Here is a 24,790-nt window from a genome sequence, read left to right on the forward strand (position 1 = left end):
TTAAAAGAGTATGGGCTTTGAAGTCAGAAAGAACTGGGCTTGAAATTATCTTTGTCACTTCCTACTTGTGATACTAAGTAAATCACTTCTCTTAGTTTCTTTGCTTGCAAAGTAAGGATAATATCTATTTCACAGATTATGACAATTATATGCACAAATTATACAAAAGCACCTCACACACAGCAGTTATCAAATAAATGTTGGTTTCAAAATATTTTTCAAGGATATGTTATAGCATTTTCCTAATTTCAACTTTCTCATGTTGAAGAAGTCTATTATTCTATTTATTAGTTAGTAAAGTTAAAATTTTGCTGATAATGTTGCTTTCCATATATGCCTAATTGAAAGTTATCTCAAATTGGTAAGTGGCTAAAGTTCTTTCTAAAAACATAATTCAAAAAGTTCAAATAATAGATTATTTATACCTCAAGGAATATATATTTCCAATCTTGGTTTACACATGACTTTTTGAAACTGGAATAAACCTCATGAGTGGGCATAATGCCCTATAAACAGATGGATGTGAATGCTCAGGTGCCAGAAATCCAACATGGCCACAGCTGATGGAGAATGTTAAAATAGTGACAGTTCTTGCAACTGGTCATCTGTTCCTGGTAATAACTAAGTCTATCAGAAATAGAAAACAAATTCCAAAATACATGAATGTTTATTTAGTCTTCAGTAGGAATTTATATATAGTTCATATTCAAATATTTTTGGCACCCTTTAAAATCTATCAATATGCATCTGATATAATCTTTTCTTTCTACGGTTATAGATGGGAAAAAACCCAATGTACACTGTACCCAATGTGTAGACTTTTATCCTTCATCCAGCCCCCACCCTTCCCCACTAGTCCCCAAAGTCCATTGTATCATTCTTACTCCTTTGTGTCCTCATAGCTTAGCTCCCACTTTTAAGAGCTCCCACTTATAAGTGAGAACATACGATATTTGTTCTCACTGAGTTACTTCACTTAGAATAATGGTCTCCGACTCCATCCAGGTTGCTGGGAATTCCATTATTTTGTTCCGTTTTATGGCTGAGTAGTATTCCAAAAAACCTATCCACATAACCAAACACCACCTGTTCCATAAAAACTACTGAAATAATAAAAAAAAGAAAAAAGTAATTCTTTGATTAAAAATAAACACAATGAAAAAATAAATATGATGAAAAAAATTGTTTAAATAGGCAGAGATTCCTAAGTAATACAGTGACCACATTTTCAAAGATATAGCAATGCAGATGTTCATTTAAGTGGTATTTATAATACAGAAAAACTGGAAAATGTATAAATGGCCAACAATAGAATACTGGATAAATAAACTGTTCTATCTATAAAATGGCTAAATTATGCTATATCCAAACTACATTATTCAGCCACTAATACTATGGTGTGAGAAAATATTTAAAGAAATAGGAAATTATCACAATATATAAAAATACATATAATGGGTAATAAAATGATTTTTGTATGATCACATTTGAATAAATATAAGCTACATACACACATACATTTAGAAAAAGTGAAAGACTATCCATCAAATGTTTAGAGTGAGGTTCTGAGTGATTTTTACTTTTTCACCTACCTATATTTTCAAACATTTTACTATGAAAGTATATATCACAAATAATTATAAAAACAGTACTTCAGTCAATGATAAGCTAAATGGATTTAATGGCTCTTTATTCTACATTCAGAAGCTGACTGCTTCTCACCACCACCTCTGTTACTGCTCTGTTTCAAGTCATTATCTCCTTTTACCTGGAATATTCCTATAGTATCCTACCTGGCCTTCCTCCTGCTTCTGCTTCTTGCCCCAATTCAGTTAGCTCTTCTTAATAAAATAGATCATGTCACCTCTCTACTTCAAGTCCTCCAAAGGCTTATTTCACTTAGAGTAAAAATCAAAATTACCAAAATAGCTTAGAGTGACTTATGATTGGAACTCTCTACTCTTCTTCATTGGACTCCTTCTACTCTCACCTCATTACATCTTTTACTTCGTCTCCTAGTGAGCTTCCACTTTGCACACTACTTTCCAGCCTCATTGGTCTTCATGCTGGACCTTGAACACACTGGGGTTTTGCATGTGCAGCTCCCTTTGCCTGAAATGCTCCTCCCTGGATATTCAATGGCTTGTACTTTTCTTCCTCCAGGTTTCTATGTAGTTGTCTTTTCAGACTTTCTTTTTATCGGATTTAGTATTATAATCCTCCATGCTCCTACCTCTACCCAGACTCCTTACATTCCTTCTTTGCTTTATCTTTCTCCCATAGTACCTAACCACATCTAACATACCAAAATTTTACTTGTGATTTTTCTATTGCCTGCCTCACTCTCTCTAGGGTTGAAGCCCTCTGAGGCAAGGGTTAGGGTATCTCCATCTGTTAAACAGTGGATTGCTAGAGAGAAGGTAGTGTGAAAAGAGATTTCATTCAGCGATCCAGTTTCTCAAGGGCAACAGTAAGTTGTAAAGTCCAAGGGAGCAATTTAGGAAGGCTGAAACTTAAGTTCTGCATTTTAAATTTATTTCACAACAAACTGTCACAGTGAAAATCATCATGCCTATTTATCAATTTCATCCACTAGTTAGGTAGCTAACCTAAAAGTCAAAATCAGAAATTTAAAAAAACTTTAGCTTAGCTTTCTTAACTGTCATAAAGTTTTTAAGGACAGAAGGGCAATTAAATCTGTTATAATAGATTGGGTTGAAAGGTTCTTGGTCAAATTCCACTTTCCACATTATAACAATATGTAAACTGAATAAGCTCGATTAACCACACTGCAATTTAGTTGCTATACTTTTTAGGTTTTAAAGTCATAAGCTTGTCTGACAAATGTGAAATGTGGTGTTTTTTCCCTAGTTCTTTGTCTAATGATTATTAATGATCAGGACAATGAAGCAAGTCCTTGGCATAACACTGGGTTCCCTCAGTAAAGCATATTTTTTTTTATTAGTGAGGCCAAAATAATGTTCTACTAAAACTATGATAACTTCAACCTGATGCCATTCACATAGAAAATAAGACCAAAAACTGATAATTTTTTCTCCTTAGAGAGTCTGAATTTTTGTTATTTAGAAAAATATTAAAAATATGGTTTAACTAGGACTAATATATGAATTTTTAACATAGCTATACATTTTAACTTGCATTAGGAGAAAACAGCTAATAACTCTTTATGATTACGATATCAAATAATTTTCCAAGTAAAACCTTAATAAGCATACATACTCTTAAGAGTTCTCATAGGAGACAAAACTAGAAGTTCTGTTAGTTAAAGTAATAGACTTTTAAGATTTTCATTATTTGCTTGCACTTCTTATTTAGAGGATCTGCTTCATAGGCATGCAACCTGTGCAGTAAGTAGCACAGGGCACCATGTTTGGTTATATTATTAGATTAACTGCTTGGTATCCTTTTCAAAGTAGCGATCACTGGACTTTGAGAAGATCATGTATCAAACAAGTAAATTTCAGCTCTGCCCAAAGGTGACACTTCAATCATGGTTAGTTTTTCCTAACAAGTGACAACACTGACCTGTTCAAACTTGTTAGGAAAAACTGAAGAAGCGCAGTGTCCACAGCTCAGATAACTCTGCATCAAGTTAATCTTTTTCCAACTTTCTGTAATAATTCTGGTCAAAGTAGTTGGATTGCTAGGCCTTGATAACTTGTACAATACCTTATTTCTCTAAGATTAGAGTCTATCCTCTCACCCAACTCCTAATCTCCTCTGGAACTGGATTATTCCTGCAAGAAATAAAGTAGTCATCAGGGATAAGGACCTAAAGTGAGTAGAGAGTGGGTGCTAAAGATTAACCTGTGAGTTTTTCCGAAGGACAGCTTAAACATAACTGAATCTTACACATGATCTAAGATAAGTAGGATGAGGATATGTATTTTTGGGTAGAACCAGATAATATGTTACCTTAGTTGTTGCAAGTTGAAGTCTATCAAAGAGCAGAGTTCTCATGGCTGCTTTTAAAGTACAATAATCATATTTTGATGGCCAGAACTGCTGCACTGCTACATTTAACCTTTTGTGCAGATTAGAGGGGAAAGAAGTAAATGGAAGTCCTTTAAATTGCTTCTCTTTTGAATTTTCAGACTGTACAGATATAAAAGCAAAATATTTTGGTGTCAATATAAAACAAAAACATTTTAGGTTTAAATTTATTTCTATATAGTACTACTTAGGATCAACTTTTTATACGTACAAGCTGGTTATTGGCGCTTTGGCTACACAATTTTTCAGGTAATAGAACCTTAACCACCAAAGACAGAGGAGGGATGATGGAAAGCCTTTTTTTCTCTATCTCAAGGAGGTAGACTAAATAAACCCTTTCAATTTTAAAAAGATTTCAATTTTAGTATAGCATAATTTTGTATACTATACTATATCTATATTTAGATATAGATAGGTAGATATCTAGATAAAATATAACTTTGAGTTTTACAAGTATAGTGGAAGAATTACTTTGGGAAACAATCATTATGCTAACTGATAAGAATTGGATCTTTGTCCTTGGAAAATGTATGGTCTATTTTTGGAAGCTAAAACAGACACAAGACAACACATACTATTAGGTTGGTTTTTGCCATTAAAAAAGTAATTGCAAAAACTGCAATTCCTTTTGCACCAAACTAATAAGTGTCACATAGGTAATACGAAAGTAAATTCAGAAGACAGAAGGAGACACTGTAGACAGGATTTGAAAGGAAGGGTTTTATGAAGAAAAAAAGTTATTTTTTAAAGCAAATCAAATCTATTACTTCCAGGTTAGTAAAAGAAGTACAAAAAGTATATAAGCTTATGGAACATTTATGATCTTTTTAGTAAAATATTGTATCTAAAGTTACAAACAGTTACCTGTTATTTAACATTGATTCAAAAATAAAAACAGAACACAATTTGAAAATGGAAAGGAAATACAGTTACAATACCTAGATGCCTGGTTGTAACTGTGTGGTTACTTTTTTTAAAAGTCATGCTTTTAGAAACATAAAGATTAGAAGATTTTACTCTGCAGAATAACAAGTATATGTAGATTAATAATGTTAACTTTAAACACCTTTGTAATAAAGTCAGTGATATCTGGAAGGCAGATGGAATGAAGCAAAAATAAAAGAATTGAAAGTATTCTAATTTTATTGAATAAACTCATAAAAGTCAATTTTTCTAACTACACATACCAACATACCACACTTGTTAGCTCTGCACTCAATTTATAGCATGCAGTGAGTAATCTACCATGTCTTCCAACTTATCTTAAATTATTATTTTGGATTTCTAACATATCTTCAAGAACACCATTACCTTTTAACTGGAAAGCATAAAGTATATTTGTAGTGTGACCTACACATGCCAGTATATAAAAATATATGTTTTCTAATCATAAGTTATTTTTCAGTGCCTTTAAAAATAGTAGTTCTTGGCTGGGTGTGGTGGCTCACGCATGTAATCCCAGCACTTTGGGAGGCTAAGGTGGGCGGATCACTAGAGGTCAAGAGCTCAAGAGCAGTCTGGCCAACAAGGTGAAACTCCGTCTCTACTAAAAATACAAAAAAATTAGCTGAGCATGGTGGCGCACGCCTGTAATTCCAGCTACTGGGGGAGGTTGAGGCAGGAGAATCGCTTGAACCCGGGAGATGGAGGTTGCAGTGAGCTGAGATCGCGCCACTGCACTCCAGACTGGGTGACGAAGCAAGACTCCATCTCAAAAAAAAAAAAAAAAAAAAAAAGGTAGTTCTTCACACTTTCAGATGATAAAAATTTAAAATCATATATATGTCATATATATAAATCATATATGTATATATGTATGTGTGCATGTGTGTATAGTAGTGGCTACCTATGTAAATAAAAAATAAAATCACGTATTCAAGTAAATTATATACAGTGATGGTGTATCATAGCTACTCTATTTTTTTTTTGCTAAAAAAATAGTAAGAGTTGGAAAAAAGATAGTAACTTTCTTGGAGGCAAAAGCGTATGTAGATATGTATGAGTCAAGGAGAGCTGTTTTCTCAGACAGGCACTTGGCTAACTCCCTCAGGTCCCTGTTGTTTGCTCAGGTCTAACCTAATTGAGGGCCACTCTGCTAGCATACTTACTAATGGAAGCTGTTCTTCTCCAAGTAATTAGTACCTCCCTTTCTCTGGCCTACATACCCCATTACAGCACAAATCACCTTCTAACACAGTATATAATTTATTATGTTTATTGCTTATTGTCTGCATTTTCCTGCTAGAATGCAATCTCCAGGTAGCCAGGGTTCATTATTTTATTCAATGGTATATAGCAAAAACCTAGAATAAAGCCTTGAAGTACAGCAATTACTCAATAAAGATCTGTTGAATCAAAATGAAATGAGTAAGACCAGAAGCAACAACCAGATTTTATGAAGATATTACTGTACATAACAATATGCTATTTTTTTGTAAAGGCAAGTTAATTGTATTTCTCGGATGGGGTTGTTCAGAATATACAAAAAATACTGTCCTTAAGAAATATTAAATTCATAGTCTGACACCTAAATCATATGTACATCAACATGCACTTGATGCAACCTCATTTCCTGCAGATCTTTTGCTTCTGTTACCTGCTCAGAGATGTCTTCACTGACTTTATCTAAAAGAGCACACCATCCCCTTATCATTCTCTAGCTGTTATTTCCTTGATAGTTCTAATCACTGCATATTATATTGAATATTTATTGTTTATCTCCTCCATAAAAACAGGAACCTTATCTGCCTTCCTTACTGCTCTACTTTCCCTGTATTTGGATGAGTGCCTGGTACACAGTAAATACCAGCATGAATGCACTGGGAATTTGCATGGACCCATGTTGTCCTTCATATAAAAGAATGATCTAATTGTTTGTATCCAGATCTGAAGTTGGAAAGCAATCACTTGTATTATTCCCTCACCAATAAAACAAACAAACGAAGAACAGTTCTTCATGCTTCACACCATATAGACTGCGATGGTTAAAAGGCTTGACTAGATACATGCTAGATGTTATTGCACCAAATATCAATGAAATTCAATATTCACCTGGAAGATTAAATCTTCAATCATATTAAATACAAGTTTTAGATTTACTCTGTTTTTTTCTGGGGTTAAATTATATTCATTTAATTGATTAGAAGTGAAGATACTGATCTAAAATTCTGTGAAATTCTGTTTAATTTTAAAACTTCAGCAAGGTGAATGCTAAAAGTAAAGCAGTAGTTCAGACTCAGTTGCTCTTTCATCCCACTTTTCTGTTTAAAATATAAGACTGAGTGACAATATCTGGATTGAATGACATAGCTGTCTGTCTTTGTAATGGGTGGCAAATGCAAAGAGGAGCAAGATTTTTAAGAATAACATTCTGCAAAGGATGTTGCTTACCTAGTCTGCTCTGTCTGAACACCAGAATCTTCACTCAAACTGTTAATTGTAGATATCTTTAAAATTCTGCCCAGAATGTTTTCAATTGCAGAACTTTATAAAGTTCACCAAAGAAGTTGATAAAGACTGAAAGCACATTTTGAAATGAACTATATAATGTAAGCATACATGTTATTAAATATCTATCTGGTTTACTAAAAGTCCTGCTTCTTTTTGCATTTGCTACCCATTACAAAGACAGGCAGCTATGTCATTCAATCCTGATATTGTTACCCATAGGCAGCAAAATCATTCAATCTGGATATTGTCAGCCAGTCCAGATTTTAAACAGAAAAGTAGGATTAGAGAGCAACTGAGTCTGAACTACCACTTTAGCATTGGCTTAAGGTTTTTTTTGTTTGTTTTTTTTTTTTAGATGGAGTCTTGCTCTTGTCACCTGGAGTGCAGGGGCGCAATCTCGGCTCACTGCAACCTCCAACTCCCTGGTTCAAGCGATTCTCCTGCCTCAGCCTCCTGAGTAGCTGAGATTACAGGCACCTATCACCACACAAGGCTAATTTTTGTACTTTTTTAGTAGAGACGGGGTTTCACCATGTTGGCCAGGCTGGTCTCGAACTTCTGATCTCAGGTGATCTGCCCGCCTCGGCCTCCCAAAGTGCTGGGATTACAGGCATGAGCCACCACGCCCAGCCCTGGCTTTACTTAAGTTTTAAAATCAAATAGAAAAAAAGAGGGATGACTCCTTTAATTATATCCTACATAGATTCTCTGATTTTTCAGTTATTTAAAGTTATTAGAACAATCACAATATATTAAAGAATCATGTTGTTAACTTTAAAGCTTCAATCTCCAGCTCAATTCAAAGCTCTTTACACTATTCCCCTCTACTCTCCCCCGACCCCAAGTACAGAGAAAAGGGCGATTATTTTCTTACTTGACTGGGTAAGGATGCAGTCCTCATTAACTGGATTTTGATAACCTCTGTGTGACAGTATCCAAAAGCTAGATCTATAATGAGGCTTCTTTGAGGGAGCCTGCAGGGGCTTCCCATTATGTAGTTTCCTGATGTTGGTCATCTGGATCCAGTTTACTGAACCACTTTAATTTCTCTTGCTGCAGAGATTCCCTCTTGCTGAGGTCAGCGCGCATACTGACAAAATGGCTGAAGCTCACCTACTTTCCCTGGTGTTCATACCATCCATGGGAATCTCCGTTATTCTTGACACACTAAATGATGGGCATGAAGACCACTTTCTTGCTGTCCTGGCCTCTGTTAGTCTATCATCTCTTGCAAATTCTCTTTCCTCTACTCATATAGCTCCAGGAGCTCAGCAAGTCCTCTGTCCCAGCAAACACCCAACAGAGAAAAGAAATATGCCTCTTATTTTGGTAATCCCAATCTTTGGATATAATTCTCTTCATGCAACCCCGACTCCAATTATATATTGGGAACAGTCCTGTCCACAAACTGATTCTCCAAAAGGCCTCCTTATTTTCTCTCAGGCCTACCATTTTTTTAATGAAGGGTGAGTAGGAGTGGTGGTGGTGAGGTAGTGGTGGTGGTGATAGGTATGCTTGTGACACTACTTGGCTAATACTATGGGATTATTCAGTTATTTTAACTTAGAATGTGAAGTATTTAATAATTTTATTCTCAGTTTTGGGGCATAATCATAATTACGGGGCAATGGGAAAACTCCCACTCAATATTATATTATAAATGCATCAACAAAAAAGAAAGATTCTGTTGTACCTATAGTATTATGATATCAAGTGTTAGCCAGTCCTTGCCTAATGTATTGGCAAAACCTCAGTCCTAAAAGGGTAAGAGAAATATCTTATTTGGTCCTGTTAAAAACATCTTCTGTGATACCCAATTCACATCATGTGTCAACTTTTTCAGAGAGGAGGTCTCACTAGATTGCCCAGGCTGGTCTCAAACTCCTGCACTCAAGTGATCCTCCTGCCTAGGCCTCCCTACGTGCTGGGATTAGAGGCGTGAGCAGCCACGCCTGGCCTTGTGTCAATTTCTTATAACAAAGCTGTGGTAGAGAATTCTCAATCCCTATGTACAGGAACCCAAAATTCAGCCTTTCAAGTACAGTATCTCCATCAAATGTAGTTAGATAGCTTGTGGTTTTGTAAGATATTAATTAAAATCTTCAATAAAAAAGAACTAAGGTACTTAGGTACACATATATTAACACCTTAACATACCAATGGGCTGGGCACAGTGGCTCACACCTGTAATCTCAGTACTTTGGGAGGCCAAGGTGGGAGGAGTCTCAAACCCAGGAGTTTGAGAACAGCCTGGGCAATATAGGGAGACCTTGTCTCTACAAAAAAATTATTAAAAGTTAGCTGGATGTGGTGATGCATGCCTCTAGTCCCATCTGCTCTGAAGGCTGAGGTGAGTGGATCACTTGAGCCCAGGAGTTGGAGACTGCAGTGAGCTCTGATTGCGCCACACTGTACTCTAGCCTGGGTGACAGAGTGAGACCCTGTCTCAAAAACATACGGGGAAAAAAAAAAAAAGAAGAAGAAAAAAAAGTAACAAACAAATTTGGCAATAATGAAACCTCTTAATTCAGAGCATTACAATGAAATCCTTTGCTTTTTAACAGAATACTTACCAGTATCTTATGGAACTAGTGTACTGAGGAATCTAGTTTAGAACCTTCCTTTCCTTTTACTTTTTCCTTTCCTTTTTCCTTTCCCTTTTCCTTTTTTTCTTCCTTCCTTTTTCCTTCCTCTCTCCCTCCTTCATTCCCTTTTTGTAATTTTTGTTTCTATAAGGAACTAGGCAAAGCCAAGTAAATTCTTTAACTTAATTAAAGAAGTGTAATAGCTCTCTTTTGCTCCCACTCCACCATGTTGAGATGCCTGCTCACCCTTCACCTTCCACCATGATTGTAAGCTTCCTGAAGCCCTCATTAGAAGTCAGGCAGATTCTGGTACCATGCTTCCTGTACAGCCTGCAGAACTGTGATCCAATTAAATCTTTTTTTCTTATAAATTAAAAAAAAGTATAATAAATATGTCTGTTGTTGTTGGTTCATTCAAAACAGATTTTCTCTTCCCTCTGCTCTATTGTAAGTGGTGTTGTTTTTAATAAGATTCTAAGATTCCCTAGCTTTTAGCAAGAAGAGATGTTTTCAGGATAAGGCTTTCAAAAAGGTCTTCCTTACTAAGTATTTAGAAGTCCTGTGTTTTACGGTATCTTTTTGTGCTACATTATCACCTGTTTCTTCAGTGGCAGCTGCTGAGTTTGTAAAAGATCAATTGGCTGTTTCTCTGGATTTTGCCATTTAACTATTACATGCTCGCTTATATGGGTTATGCTTATGAAGAGTTGTTTCCTAATTGCAGGCTGCTTCATTAGAAGGAAAAGAAGAGGTTTTGGGATAATATTCCTCCAGAATCACCTTCACCAAAGTTATGGCAGCTGTAGCAACTTTTATAATCTAGAATCTAATGGAAACTAATCTTACTCTTACTGAGGAAGTACAATAAGTGTTTTATAAAATATGGTGTTTACCTCTACATTAGGCAGTGTTTTTAAAAATCTTAATTAACACTATCAATTCTAACTACTTCAGAGTTGGACATCATATTAAAAATGTAAGGTTGTTTAAGAACTGTTGTAAATATCTGGTAACTATCTTCTTCTAAACAATGTCTTTAAAAAGTGGTGCGTCTTTTAAAACCCTCTTAGTAATTGTGAAAGGGATGCCATTACATAAACTCAAGATTAGTTAACATGTTTATTTTTTAAAGTGACTTAAAAACATATTTTTATGGCAGGAAAATAAAACATGATCACTAGTTGACGCTATAAAATGTAATCATTTAGGGATATGTTTTACGTCCCCACCTTACCTGATTTTAGTTCTCAACAGAAAATATTTAACTCAACTAGCTAGCACATTTATATTTCTGTTGTTGTTTTTTTACATGGCTGTCTATATAGTCTATTATTTTCTTGCATTTTCCTTTTCAGGTGCCTCATTAGTAATTTTATTAAAAATTCTTAGATTACGTGTGGTTTTCCACATAAAACTATTATCATCATCATCGCAACTATTTGAGTGGTTGGTTCATTCCATACACTATACTAAGCATTTGCATATGTCGTCTGATGAAATTTTTTTTTTTTTTTGAGATGGAGTCTCGCTCTGTCATCCATGCTGGAGTGCAGTGGCGCAATCTCGGCTCACCGCAAGCTCCACCTCCCGGGTTCATGCCATTCTCCTGCCTTAGCCTCGAGTAGCTGGGACTACAGGCGCCCACCACCACGCCGGGCTAAGTTTTTTGTATTTTTAGTAGAGATGGGGTTTCACCGTATTAGCCAGGATGGTCTCGATCTCCTGACCTCGTGATCTGCTCGCCCCGACCTCCCAAAGTGCTGAGATTACAGGCGTGAGCCACCGCGCCTGGCCCATCCGATAAAATTTTTATGACAATCCTGAAAGGCATAGTCATATTTTTATGCTCGAATTTTAGGCAGCAAAACTGAGGTTTGTAGAAGTAATTTTTAAAATACTGCATTTTTTTCAAAGGGCACTGAAGCTTGCATGTGTTTCGGTTAGATAAAATTGCAGATCTTAGCTATTCAAAACCCTTACGCTCATAATCTTGCTTCTTAAATCCCTAGTGGCCCACTAACATATTCTTTAGTATTTGTGAGTTCTCACAAAAAATCTTTAGTTTTGTAGCTTTATTTCAAAGGTAATCTAAAAGTTAACATAACTCTGTTTTGGATTAAAAAAACACCATTATATAAATAAATACTTCGACTTGAGTGCCCATGTTTTTGTTTGCTTATAATGGAGTTGGAGCCAGACTATCTAACTTAAAATTGCCCTGGACTACAGTAAAGAGTAAGTTAATTAATGATCCATTTATGCCAGGTAAAGGTCAAATACTGTAATTGCTTGCTTCTGGTATAAAGGTTTCAAAAAAATCGTAAGAGAAAACTGTTAGGAAAATTGAGTTATCACATAGCAACATAGGTATCTCAAATTCAAATAAATCTGTGCTCTATTTCCAGTGATGATTTAGGCTTAACAAAAAACTTACACATTAATGTTAACTTAAAATATTTTAGTTTTATTTCATTCCTAATTTTTTTCTAGTTTAATAGTTAAAATAGAGCTAAAAACCTAAGTTTACTCCTAGTTTTCTATTTGTACATATTAGGGTAACTTTATAAGAAAAATAGTTTATCACACTGGGTATCCACAAAAATTCATAAAAGGTGCTCCTATAGTACTCAAGACTGAGAAACAGTAGTGTATAATCTGTGAGGCCAGTGCATAATAGCAATTCAATAGTTAGTTGAATCAGAATTTTAAGCATCTACCTAGGTTCTCCATATTTATTCATTTGATTGATTAGTAACAATTAAAAAATATATTCTGTGGCCAAACTATGTCAGAGTTACTTTCTTCCCCATTATTAAGTGCACTAAATTCATAGTAGGGAGTTTTAGTGGTTCTTAGACATTTTTTTTTTCAGTAAGGACCCCTTCGAGAATCTTGTGACATCTATGGATCCTCTCCCAAGAAAACGGATATACAAAAATATTACACACAACATTTTAAAAATTACATACATTTAAAAAAGAAAGAATAGGTTCTGTAGTTACAAAACCTGAATTCCAATCCTCTCTCTTTATAATCTTTGTAATCTAAAGCAGCCTCGTTTTTTTTTAAATTATACTTTAAGTCTTAGGGTACATGTGCACAACGTGCAGGTTAGTTACATATGTATACATGTGCCATGTTGGTGTGCTGCACCCATTAACTCATCATGTAACATTAGGTATATCTCCTAATGCTATCCCTCCCCCCTCCCCCCACCCCACAACAGTCCCCAGAGTGTGATGTTACCCTTCCTGTGTCCATGTGTTCTCATTGTTCAATTCCCACCTATGAGTGAGAACATGCAGTGTCTGGATTTTTGTCCTTGCGATAGTTTGCTGAGAATGATGGCTTCCAGTTTCATCCATATCCCTACAAAGGACATGAACTCATCCTTTTTTATGGCTACATAGTATTCCATGGTGTATATGTGCCACATTTTCTTAATCCAGTCTATCATGGTTGGACATTTGGGTTGGTTCCAAGTCTTTGCTATCGTGAATAGTACCGCAATAAACATACGTGTGCATGTGTCTTTACAGCAGCATGATTTATAATACTTTGGGTATATACCCAGTAATGGGATGGCTGGCTCAAATGGTATTTCTAGTTCTAGATCCCTGAGGAATCGCCACACTGACTTCCACAATGGTTGAACTAGTTTACAGTCCCACCAACAGTGTAAAAGTGTTCCTATTTCTCCACATCCTCTCCAGCACCTGTTGTTTCCTGACTTTTTAATGATCACCATTCTAACTGGTATGAGATGGTATCTCATTGTGGTTTTGATTTGCATTTCTCTGATGGCCAGTGATGATAAGCATTTTTTCACGTGTCTTTTGGCTGCATAAATGTCTTCTTTTGAGAAGTGTCTGTTCATATCCTTTGCCCACTTTTTGATGGGGTTGTTTTTTTCTTGTAAATTTGTTTGAGTTCATTGTAGATTCTGGATCTACATTGTAGTTCATTGTAGCCCTTTGTCAGATGAGTAGATTGCAGTAGATTTTCTCCTATTCTGTCGGTTGCCTTTTCACTCTGATGGTAGTTTCTTTTGCTGTGCAGAAGCTCTTTAATTAGATCCCATTTGTCAATTTTGGCTTTTGTTGCCATTGCTTTTGGTGTTTTAGACATGAAGTCCTTGCCCATGCCTATGTCCTGAATAGTATTGCCTCGGTTTTCTTCTAGGGTTTTTATGGTTTTAGGTCTAACGTTTAAGTCTTTAATCTATCTTGAATTAATTTTTGTATAAGGTGTAAGGAAGTGATCCAGTTTCAGCTTTCAACATATGGCTAGCCAGTTTTCCCAGCACCATTTATTAAATAGGGAATCCTTTCCCCATTGCTTGTTTTTGTCAGGTTTGTCAAAGATCAGATGGTTGTAGATATGCAGCATTATTTCTGAGGGCTCTGTTCTGTTCCATTGGTCTACATCTCTGTTTTGGTACCAGTACCATGCTGTTTTGGTTACTGTAGCCTTGTAGCATAGTTTGAAGTCAGGTAGCTTGATGCCTCCAGCTTTGTTCTTTTGGCTTAGGATTGACTTGGCGATGTGGGCTCTTTTTTTGGTTCCATATGAACTTTAAAGTAGTTTTTTCCAATTCTGTGAAGAAAGTCATTGGTAGCTTGATGGGGATGGCACTGAATCTATAAGTTACCTTGGGCAGTATGGCCATTTTCACGATATTGATTCTTCCTACGTATGAGCATGGAATGTTCTTCCATTTGTTTGTATCCTCTTTTATTTCATTGAGCAGTGGTTTGTAGTTCTCCTTGAAGAGGTCCTTCACATCCCTTGTAAGTTGGATTCCTAGGTATTTTATTCTCTTTGAAGCAATTGTGAATGGGAGTTCACTCATGATTTGGCTCTCTGTTATTGGTGTATAAGAATGCTTGTGATTTTTGCACATTGATCTTGTATCCTGAGACTTTGCGCAAGTTGCCTATCAGCTTAAGGAGATTTTGGGCTGAGACAATGGGGTTTTCTAGATATATCTAGCAACCTCTCTTAAAGCCTCCATTTCCTCATCTGTAAAATGCAAATACCACCTATCACACAGAAATGTTACACAGATTGAGTGAAATCATGTAATTATGGTGCTTGCCATTTAGCAGATGCTAAACTAAGTGGTTAACTATTTTTCTATTGTTAGAGGTTTTATTATGCTGATTGGTTACAGCCATTTTTTAGATTCCAAGGATCTTATATTCTTTCCACTGATTACCTCATTTATTTGGCTTCTCCTTTTAGGATATTTTTTATAGATGATAGTGACCCACAAAAGCACTGGAGGGGTAATAGCATCTTTAATGTTCAGTTCAGAATAGAAGTGCCTTTAATACTGCCATGATCAATTCCAAAGGTGATGAGTATTAGAGAGATTCAATATATGGACAAGGATATTTAAAGGGGGGGAAATGTGGTTCACCAATTTAAATGATATCTGCTACATACATGTAGCATACAAGAAAATGGAAAAAATTATACTATTATTCTGACATCACATAGTTTTCTTGAGAACTAAATGACAAGGTGATGTGATTTATAATATTATATATATAGATCTATCTTCTGTATGCACGTTTTAGTTTTCGTCTCTGTTTCCTAGCCCAGAGGTCCTAAAACTTCTAGATAAAGGGCACTAGGAGAATCTTATTCTATTCAGTCTTTGACCCTTGGTTCCTGACAGAGCTCCTAAGCCCCTTGGAATTTCCTGGACGATAGGAGAATCTTTTGTTCTAATGAGGTAACTCTTGATGGGCTCCTGGGTAGCCTCAGGATGGGAGCTGGTTGCCAGGGAAGCCAACCATGTGATTAGGGAGTTGGAACTTTAACCTGGCTCCTCACCTCCAGGGAGGGGAGAGGGGGTTAAAGGTTATTTGCTCACCAGTGACCAATAATGTAATCAATCATGCCTACATAATGAAGTATCCATAAAAGCCCAAAAGGACAGGCAGGGTTCAGAGAGCTTCCTGATAGCTGAACACTAGGAGGTTCCTGGAAGCTGGCCTGCCTGGAGAAGGCATGGAATTGCCACACCTCTTCTCCCTACCTATACATAGGGCAAGGTATGGGAGAAAAGGTGTGCAGATTCCTCTTCCATCCAGCTGTTCACCTGTATGCTTTGTAATATCCTTTATAATAAATGGGTAAATGCTAGTAAAGTGTTTCTCCGACTTCTGTGAGCCACTCTAGTGAACTAATTGAACCTGAGGAAGGGATCATGGGAATCCTGATTTACAGCTTGGTCAGGAGTATCGGTGACAACCTACTACTTGTGGCTGGTACTGGAAGTGGTGGGGGCAGTCTTGCAGAACCGAGCCCTCAATCTGTTCGATCTGATGCTGCCTCCAGGTAGATAGTGTCAGAACTGAATAGAATTGAGACACCCAGCTGATGTCTGCTAGAAAATTGATGGTTTGATGTGGGCGGGGGTGAGGGGGGACCGCTATCCCACCCCATCTTGTTGCAGAAGTATTGTATTGAGTAGTATTTGAGAACAGGGAAAAAGTTTGGTTTTTCCTCTCTCAGAGACAAAACATAGTGCCTGGAACATGACTGAGATTTCAGCTACATTTGAAAAATAAATGGCAAATGAATACTGAGTCAGAACAGAACATCTTATTAAGGTGAGAAGGCATTTATTCTATTATTCTCAAAACTGGTAATATTAAAAACATACTTTATGTTCATATCTGAAACACAAACAAATAACTCTAAGGAACTATCCAAATTTCTTTCATTTTCATTGTCACTTTGGTATTTTAAGCATCAAATATTGCTTGAAATATTTGAGCATAAACATATTCTGGTTATGTGTTTTATATAGTGTCACTATAGCCATCATAACAAGATTTCACAGAAGGCTGAAGAAGTTTTAATAAAGATCCTCAGTCAATATAAAATGCTCCAATAACAGTAACTGATATAAAAATAATGAAAAAATAGTTACGTTTGCAAGGCTGACTTAACACCTCGTGTATATTTCGTTAGATGATGTTTGTGAGACTTACAAATTAAACATTTGTATTTTAAAACTTTTTCTTTTGCTCTTAACAATGTATCATGTCAATAAAATTTCCTCCACATCATTTCAAATGGCTGAATACTGTTCACTGTATGGATGTTGCTTAACCAATCTCCTAATAAATGATGCAGTAAAGAATACTCTTGCAATTAACTTGTTAAACACACCCTTATTTGCTTATAATACATTTCTCTTTTTTTTTTTTTTTTTTGAGACGGAGTCTCGCTCTGTCACCTAGGCTGGAATGCAGTGGCACAATCTCGGCTCACTACAACCTCTGCCTCCTGGGCTCAAGTGATTCTCCCATCTCAGCCTTCCCAATAGCTGAAACTACAGGCACCCGCCAGCATGCCCAGCTAATTTTTGTATTTTTAGTAGAGATGGGGTCTCACCATGTTGGCCAGGCTGGTCTTCAACTTGTGCCCTCAGGTGATCCAACCCCACCTCAGACTCCCAAAGTGCTGGCATTACAGGTGGCTCTCTGAGCCACCGTGCCTGGCCTTTTCTTTTGGACAGAGTCTTGCTCTGTCACCCAAGCTGGAGTGCAGTGGCATGATCTCAGCTCACCGCAACCTCCGCCTTCCGGGTTCAAGCGATTCTCCTGCCTCAGCCTCCAAGTAGCTGGGACTACAGGCGTGCACCACCACACCTAGCTAATTTGTTTGTATTTAGTAGAGACGGGGTTTCACCATGTTGGCCAGGCTGGTCTCAAACTCCTGGCCTCAGGTGATCCACCCGCCTTGGCCTCCCAAAGTGCTGGGATTACAGGCATGAGCCACTGCACCCAGCCTGCTTATGACACATTTCTAAAAGAATCGCTGGGTCAAATGCACATGGCTCAAGGCTTTTGATACATATTGCCAAACTGCACTCTAGAAAAGTGCTGCCAACATACACTCTCAGCAATATAAGCAGCCCTGTTTCTCTGAATCCTTGCCAGTATTATCAAGAAATAACCACTTGTTAAAATAGTGCCTGAAGACTAAATTAATGTTTAACATGTTTTGTCACTCATAAGTTGGGCTTACTATTAAACTTTTAACTGTTATAGTATTACCATTCAAAGCTTACACATATTTAAGATGAAGAAACTGAGGTCTAGTAAATTATAATTCAGACCCCTTTTAGTGTGAATTTTAGCCCTGGATATACTGCAGTGCAGTCTTTTTTTTTTTAACTTGTACTAGCCTTACAGATTTCCCAGAAAAAGGTAGACATCTTCTTTATTAAGTTGGAGGTCAGGAATATCCTATTAGTTTAGTACTGTTTTTCCTGTTTCCTAGATTGGATTTTACAAATTTTGTGTTAAGGATATCTGTTGACATTTACTCATTTATTATTTAAAAAGTCTAGCTAATCTTGGATAAGAATTTTGTTGATTCATTCACTCACTAATTTAACAGCATTTATCTAATGCCTACCATGTGTGAAGGATAAAGTAGTGGAAAAAAACAGGTGTAGTTTATATTTTTGTAGGGTGAAGGGAGGTAGAAAATAAACAGTGAATAAACAAGATAATGATAAATTATAAATGCTATTAAGAAAATAGAGGGGCACGTGATTGACAGAGAATAAATGGGAACGTGAGCTATTTTAGATACGGTGGCCAGGGAAGGCCTGTCAGAGATATTTGGGTTAACCTGAAGGAAGAGAATGAGTCAGCCATATCCAAGACAGAAGACCACATCCCAGGCAGAAAAAAAATAAATAAATAAAAAATAAAAAGCAAGTGCAAAGGCCCTGAGACAGAGTATCAGGTAAGATTAAATTCAGTTGAGAACAAGAGACTCCAAAATAGTGGCTTTAATAATATAGACATTTACGACTGCAGGGCTAGCATGGTGCTCTGATCCATAAAGTTCTCACAGACCCTGGTTTCCACCAGTTTAGTTTTGCCATCCCTAGAATGAGAGAACTTGCATGAGGCACAAATTGGCAGCTACAGTTCTAAGCCATCACATCTATATTCCACGGTACAGGATAAAGGAAAAGCCGCATTGAAGGTGTGCACCAACTATCTTTTAAGGATGGTTTTACAAGTGTGCCACATGATATACTGCTTACATCCCATCAGCCAGCACTATTACATGGCTACAAGGAAGGCTGCAAAATATAGTCTTTGTTCTGGGTAGCCATGTATCCATGTCTATTACTATGAAAAAAATGGAGGAATTTTTGGGGACAACTAACAGACTCTGCTACAGACTAGAAAAAGCACAGCCCACGACAGAAAGGAGGCAGTAAGAAGGGTGAGAACAACTTCCTGTGCTGCTTCCTGGGAAGATGGAGAAGTGGGCAGGAGCCAGATTATGCAGTCTTGAAGGCTATGGTAAGGAATTCCGATTTCATTCTGTGTGCATAAGGAAGCTATTGGAGGGTTTTAAACAAGGGAGTGACATAACCTAATAACATTTTTTAAGTGATTGCTTTGGTTGGTATATAGAGAATGGTTTAAATGGGAAAATATTCATGAGGGTACAGATAGAAAGTGATAGCAACTAGTGTGGTTATTGCTGTGGTCCAGCAACAGATGATGGTGGCTCCCAAGGGTTGTACCAGTGGAAGTGATAAGTAGCTAAATTCAGAATGTATTTGTCAGGAAGAACTGATGGTACTGTCTGATGAGTTGTATGAGTGTGAAGAATCAGAAAATTCCAAGTTTTATGCCTGAGCAAATAAGTGAATGGTGGTACTATTTATGAAAATCAGGAATTCTAAAGGAGCAGCAGATTTAGGGAATGAACAAAGGGGATTCAAATGTTGTTTCAGACACATTAGAGAAGCCTGTCCTTTTTATCCCTTGCCATGGCAAAATTTTCAATACCATCCATATTTTTCTAAAAATGGGTGGCCTCCTTCTTCTACAAGTTATACACAAACTCATTCTTCCCTTAATAGGGTATTTTTTTTCCCTCAACGTCTGTAATTTTTAAATAAAGTGTACAGAGAATTTAACATAATACATATTTTGGAAATATACAAAACATGTGCCTATTAGTAAGGACTACTTTTCAGGTAAAAGTAAGAAAATCTAGTAAGATAGTTAAAAGAAACCAAACTACCAAATGGGCAAACTTAATCAACATTACCAATAAAGATGAACTTTTTGATGCAACAGGACAATTTAAAAAATATACCATCTATTGGTAAGAACTCTTACTATAAGAATTCTTACTATACAAGCCTTTAACAAATGCTAGCTCATTAAATACCTAGAGTACCCTCTAAGGTAGGTATTAAAAATTTTTTAACAAATTTATAATAGATTTGGCACAAATAATAGGACAATTAAAGGCTTGTTCTTCAACCCGGCTTAAAGTGAATTCATCCTAAACAAATAGGTGTTCAGTGAGAGTCAAAGTAAGTAGTATCAAATATTGAAAGTAATAGTATCAGTGTATTTTCTCCTAACACTCCTAACCCACACATTTATTATGAAAATGTTTGTTGTTCTATCTCTTCCAGTAAAATACTCAAGGTAATAAAACTCTCATATCAGACTTACACCCTCTGGAAGTCATTCCATAGAGGTATATTCAATCTTTTAACACACCATCTTATGGTTGAAGATGTTAACATGAGAAGGAGGAGAAAGCAGGAAGAGGAAGGGACTATTTGCAGAAGACGGGGAGAAAGAAAGGAAAGACACTAGTATGTGTTGTTCCTCCTCGAATTTTCCTGAAGTGAAAAAAAAACAGTGAAGTAGAGTGTTTGATGAAATGAATAACCAAGCAAAACATTTTCTACCTACACCAGTACCACTAGGAGTTGAAATAAATTCACACAATGTCTGCTGATATGTCAAAACACCTTACCTTCAAAAACATGACAGTTACCTTTTATTTTATAGTATGCTTGTGTTTCTTCCTATTTCTTGCTTTTGACCTTCAATGATAAATGTAAACTGGATTACAGTGATTCTTTTGTAAGTAAAAGGTGACTTTTTAAAAGAAACAACCAATGGAAATAGAAATTTTATTTACTTCAAATTAACTGTACTTTACTCAAATAGAAAAGAATAATTTTCACATTATGAAGCTACACAATTCCAAAATACACATGCTGAGGCTCTTTTTAAGTCCGAATTGTCTAGTAATTACAAAAAAGTGAAGAGTTTACAGATATACAAGGAAATAAAGGCGAATTATTGCAAAGAAAACAAGTTTAATTTCACTTTGAATGACAACGATTTTTCTGGAAAGCAGATACTTCACTCCTTTAAGTTTCCACCCAAGCCACAATAATTTCAAACGGTCTTGCGGATGACCCAGCTGGTCACTCTTGTTTATGTGGGGACTGGAGGTAATGAGAGCCAAAAAAAGTGCTATAAACCTAATTTGGCTAGAGCAAGTTCACACGACACGACCGTGCTTTAAAAACTTGCTCTCCATTATGTACTTCCTTCCATCAGGTTGGGGAAAAAAAAATGGTGGGGATGGTGAGTAAACACACCAGTGGTTTCATCAGAGGGGAACTCACTACTCAGGAGGTGACGGTGACGTGGTGCCGGTCCCTGAAGTACGCGCACAAGCTCCGGAGGTTGCGGGAGCTGAGGGAGGAAACAGGGACACGATCAGATTCGCTCCAGGTGGCGGGAGTGAGGAGGGGAGGAGTGACGAGGCGGACGTGCGGGGGCGGGGGTGTCCAACACAAACACAAACACAAACACGAACACGAACACGCTCAGCGTCCCCGGGGAGGGCGGACTGAAGCCACCTCACCATTCATCGCCCCTGGACCCCGCAGTCCCCCTCGGACTCAGGGCCAGAGCCTTCTGCGAAGCAACCTAGCCCCAGGGAAACGGTAGCGGCCGCAGAAGCCCCGCTCTCTGTAACGGCCGCGGAGGAGCAGCAAGCCTCCCTGTGAGTCGGTGGGAGACAAGACGGAGCGGCGGTAAGGGCGGTAGGGAAGTGAAGCGCCTCTCTCCACCTTGTTAGAAGCGCGCTGAAAGCGGCCTGCCTACCCACCCCATCGCTGCCGTTTTGCAGTCGTCGCTCCCACCTTCCGCTGCCGCCTGGAGGGAAGCCGGAGCGACGGGGGTCACGGCGGCGGTCAGAGGGTAAAGGTCTTGCTCCCAGCAGCCTCCGCGGTGGATACGTCGCCATCTTGGATCCGCGGGACAAGAAAATTCATGCGGTGAGTTTTTGGTAAATTTTCGGAAGTCTGGCAGCGGGGCGCGCGGCGGGGGCGGCAGATTCGGGGCCCCCGCAAGGCGGGGGAATGCCCCGGGGCCGGTCCGGTCGCGCCCAGGGTCCGCCGGTAGCGTCCCGGCCCACCGCTTCCCGTTGCTTTTGTCTCGGCTCCAATCGAGAGACGGAGAGCGGAGCGGGCGGGGAGGGGGGTGGCGGCGGTGGAGGGAGGGAGGGGGTGTGTATGGGGGTGGTGGTGGACCGGACGTAAAGCGTCGCTGTACTCGGGCCGCTGCAGCAGCAGCAGCTCCAGATCCTAGGCCCGGTCCCATCCGCGAGTGGTGGGGCTTCCCCAGACTCCACTCCCCTAGGCTCCCGCCAGCGCGGAGGAGCCGCTGCCGCCGCGCTGCTTCCTGGGGGAGAAGAGAAGGCGGCAGCGGCCGTGGCCGTGGCCGACGAGCTCGAGCCCGCTTTAGACGGCTCTGCCGCCTTCCCGGCAGCTGGTGCTGTCTGTGGCTTCTTACCTTCTCTCAATACACGTATATCATCTGCCAGTTATGTGTATTTCTGTTAGTGTGTTTGCAAGTGTCAGATGGGAGACACTGGACTGGCTAACGGGTGTCAGGATCCTGCAGGCCCTGGGATACCGAAGGCTGTGCATGGTGGAGGGAGAAGGAATGCAACTGCGATGCCGCCTCTGCCACCGCACCAGGAAGGTGAAGCTTCCGTAGTGTCGTAGACTGAGTCCGGATGATCCTGGGGCGGCGGAGGAACCACAGACGCTTCTGTCTGTGAAGTTGCAAGTCCTGGGTTTCTACTTCCGCAGGGGCCTCTCCACCTTTTGCTGTCGTAGGTCTCGCTTAAAAGTTTAACAGAAGAAAAGAGTAGGGTTAAAAGAGGCCTTTGTAGTTCTTCATTGAAGCACTGTTGTCTGTCCGGGTGAAAGCTGATAACTCTTGGTAACTGTGGTCCTTAGCAAAAGAGAATTGGAGTTTTCTTTTATACAAAGTATTTCCAAGGTTTTAGACCTTATATTTATTCCAGGCCTGTAGGTACGGTATTACTACCACAAAAGTCTTACATTAAGGGTACCACCCTCTCAGAGGGAACCTAAACATCAACTTCCTTCGAATCCTTGGAGACATCTTCACTTTTCAACATCCGGAAGACTGAGTGCAACATATTTTGTTTCATTTTCATAAAAGTCTTGGTCAGAGAATCCCACTCCTTTTAAAATCGTTTGGGCAATTCCTCATAATTAAGTACACTGCTTTGAACCCTTAGTTCTTGGCGAAATGGTAAAAAGTACTCAGTTAAAATCAGTTCACGAGGGAGGCCAACTTGAATTTAAGGTTCAAAGTTGAACATATTTAGTGTCATGCTTAATATTAGGAATTTTTAGAGCTCGGAATCATAAGTGTGACTGTTGATTTCCCTTTTGAAGCAATATAAATGGAAAGAATAAAGTATGGGGTGAGGGATGAGATAGAAATTTTAAAGTATCCATTTACATGCAAGGTTGATGTTGAGTTTGGGAATGCTTGGCATAATTGACAACAGTTCTTTCCAAACGTCAATGAATAAATCTCACAATTTTGTAAGGTAACTATTGCAGATTGAAAGGGTTAAGAATCATAGTTGGCTGAAATGGTTAAGTGTCTATATTCACATCCCAGTTCATTGAAATGTTTTATAATGGACCAAGATAATTAGTAAGCTCTGTATGTTGAATTTGTTTAGTTTGTAGTTCTATTATAATGTTAAATCTAAAGAAAAAAATACAAAATACACTTAAAGACAAAACATGTTCCACTCTACTCACTTATTTCTTGACTTTGTAAGATCCTTACTGTAAAAAAGGTACTTTTCTCTCATATTTTCTGAGAGCTTGAATTGTAATAATTTTTGTGAATACTTTGTATTTTAGAGAGGAAGTGAGAAACTGCTGAAGTTTTTTTTGCATCTTGATTAGTGCTTTATCAATACAAATAAGTTAATGTAAACATTTGTTGGCAGGAATCTTTTTCTAAGTATACAATGTAGAGATATCTGTAACCTAATCTGATCTCAGGGAATGAGAATTGCCTGTTTAACCAAGCAACAAATACAGCCTATACAATTTTTCAATTTCTATAATACTTTAATTTACATGGTGGAAAAATGAGGGCAAAATGCTTGTGTATGAGTGATTTATATCCCCAAGTACCTGCTCTTGAAGATAAAACTCAGATTGTGGCTTATCTTCTGATGCTGGGCAAAAAACAAAAACAAAAAAATTCAGAATGATACAACTTCCCATATACCTCCCTACAAGAACTAATTACCTTTGTTTTTGCTTTATAACTTTGGATGTTGCACTTTTTGATTTTTCAGAGATGCTTTACAGTTATTGTAATCTGAAAATTATTTGTTCAAAAGTAAATAAAATTTTCAGGTGTATGAATAGATTTTATTAGAAGTGATTCTAACCCAGTTCTCATTTGTATTCCTTTAGTAGATACTGGTGTTAAAAGTACCTGTATTTTGAAAGACCATTACAGAATTTTTTACAACCTGTATAAGTTATAGTTTTATCTTTTCTAGTGACAGAC

The 24,790-nt window shown here is 37.9% G+C and overlaps 1 protein-coding gene and 1 long non-coding RNA gene across 26 annotated transcripts in view, besides 5 other annotated features; one reads left to right on the forward strand and one right to left on the reverse strand.

Annotated features, from left to right (window-relative positions):
- Positions 1-915: 915 nt before the first annotated feature.
- Positions 916-22,086, reverse strand: PRANCR (progenitor renewal associated non-coding RNA). 3 transcript variants are annotated; one of them, NR_120460.1, is made up of 5 exons: positions 22,038-22,086; positions 21,550-21,619; positions 20,907-20,955; positions 3,937-4,116; positions 916-1,103 (listed from the first exon to the last, which is right to left on the reverse strand). It is a non-coding gene; the product is annotated as a progenitor renewal associated non-coding RNA (long non-coding RNA). The 3 variants fall into 3 exon arrangements; NR_120461.1 differs by lacking the exons at positions 916-1,103; positions 20,907-20,955 and adding exons at positions 3,719-3,758; positions 21,792-21,930 and having other exon boundaries at positions 21,523-21,619; NR_120459.1 differs by lacking the exons at positions 916-1,103; positions 3,937-4,116; positions 20,907-20,955 and having other exon boundaries at positions 21,032-21,619; positions 21,792-22,086.
- Positions 21,445-22,644: an enhancer, noted in NCBI's record as "CDK7 strongly-dependent group 2 enhancer chr12:70636499-70637698 (GRCh37/hg19 assembly coordinates)". NCBI's record gives its function as "activates an origin of replication core promoter dependent on BRD2, BRD4, P300/CBP, MED14 and CDK7 cofactors, with strong dependence on CDK7, by STARR-seq in HCT116 cells {active_cell/tissue: HCT116}" and the evidence as "EXISTENCE:reporter gene assay evidence [ECO:0000049][PMID:35650434]".
- Positions 21,578-22,117: a silencer, noted in NCBI's record as "fragment chr12:70636632-70637171 (GRCh37/hg19 assembly coordinates)". NCBI's record gives its function as "represses an EF-1alpha promoter that drives an FKBP-Casp9 reporter gene in an ReSE screen in HepG2 liver carcinoma cells {active_cell/tissue: HepG2}" and the evidence as "EXISTENCE:reporter gene assay evidence [ECO:0000049][PMID:32094911]".
- Positions 21,744-24,790, forward strand: part of CNOT2 (CCR4-NOT transcription complex subunit 2) — a 111,976-nt gene continuing 108,929 nt past the window's right edge. For 12 of the 23 annotated variants that reach the window (NM_001414655.1, NM_001414660.1, NM_001414653.1 and 9 more), the window contains exon 1: positions 22,159-22,206. The gene's annotated coding sequence lies outside the window, so the exon portion shown is untranslated. Of the gene's footprint in view, positions 21,964-22,058; positions 22,207-22,466; positions 23,049-24,790 lie in introns of those variants that run through there. The other 11 variants (XM_047428882.1, XM_017019348.2, XM_024448986.2 and 8 more) reach the window with 4 other exon arrangements.
- Positions 21,819-22,018: an enhancer, noted in NCBI's record as "active region_6657". NCBI's record gives its function as "activates an Ori minimal core promoter by ATAC-STARR-seq in GM12878 lymphoblastoid cells {active_cell/tissue: GM12878}" and the evidence as "EXISTENCE:reporter gene assay evidence [ECO:0000049][PMID:35858748]".
- Positions 22,189-22,448: a silencer, noted in NCBI's record as "silent region_4655". NCBI's record gives its function as "represses an Ori minimal core promoter by ATAC-STARR-seq in GM12878 lymphoblastoid cells {active_cell/tissue: GM12878}" and the evidence as "EXISTENCE:reporter gene assay evidence [ECO:0000049][PMID:35858748]".
- Positions 22,749-22,888: an enhancer, noted in NCBI's record as "active region_6658". NCBI's record gives its function as "activates an Ori minimal core promoter by ATAC-STARR-seq in GM12878 lymphoblastoid cells {active_cell/tissue: GM12878}" and the evidence as "EXISTENCE:reporter gene assay evidence [ECO:0000049][PMID:35858748]".

This window comes from Homo sapiens, chromosome 12 (genome assembly GCF_000001405.40).
Source record: "Homo sapiens chromosome 12, GRCh38.p14 Primary Assembly".
Taxonomy (NCBI): Eukaryota; Metazoa; Chordata; class Mammalia; order Primates; family Hominidae; genus Homo; species Homo sapiens.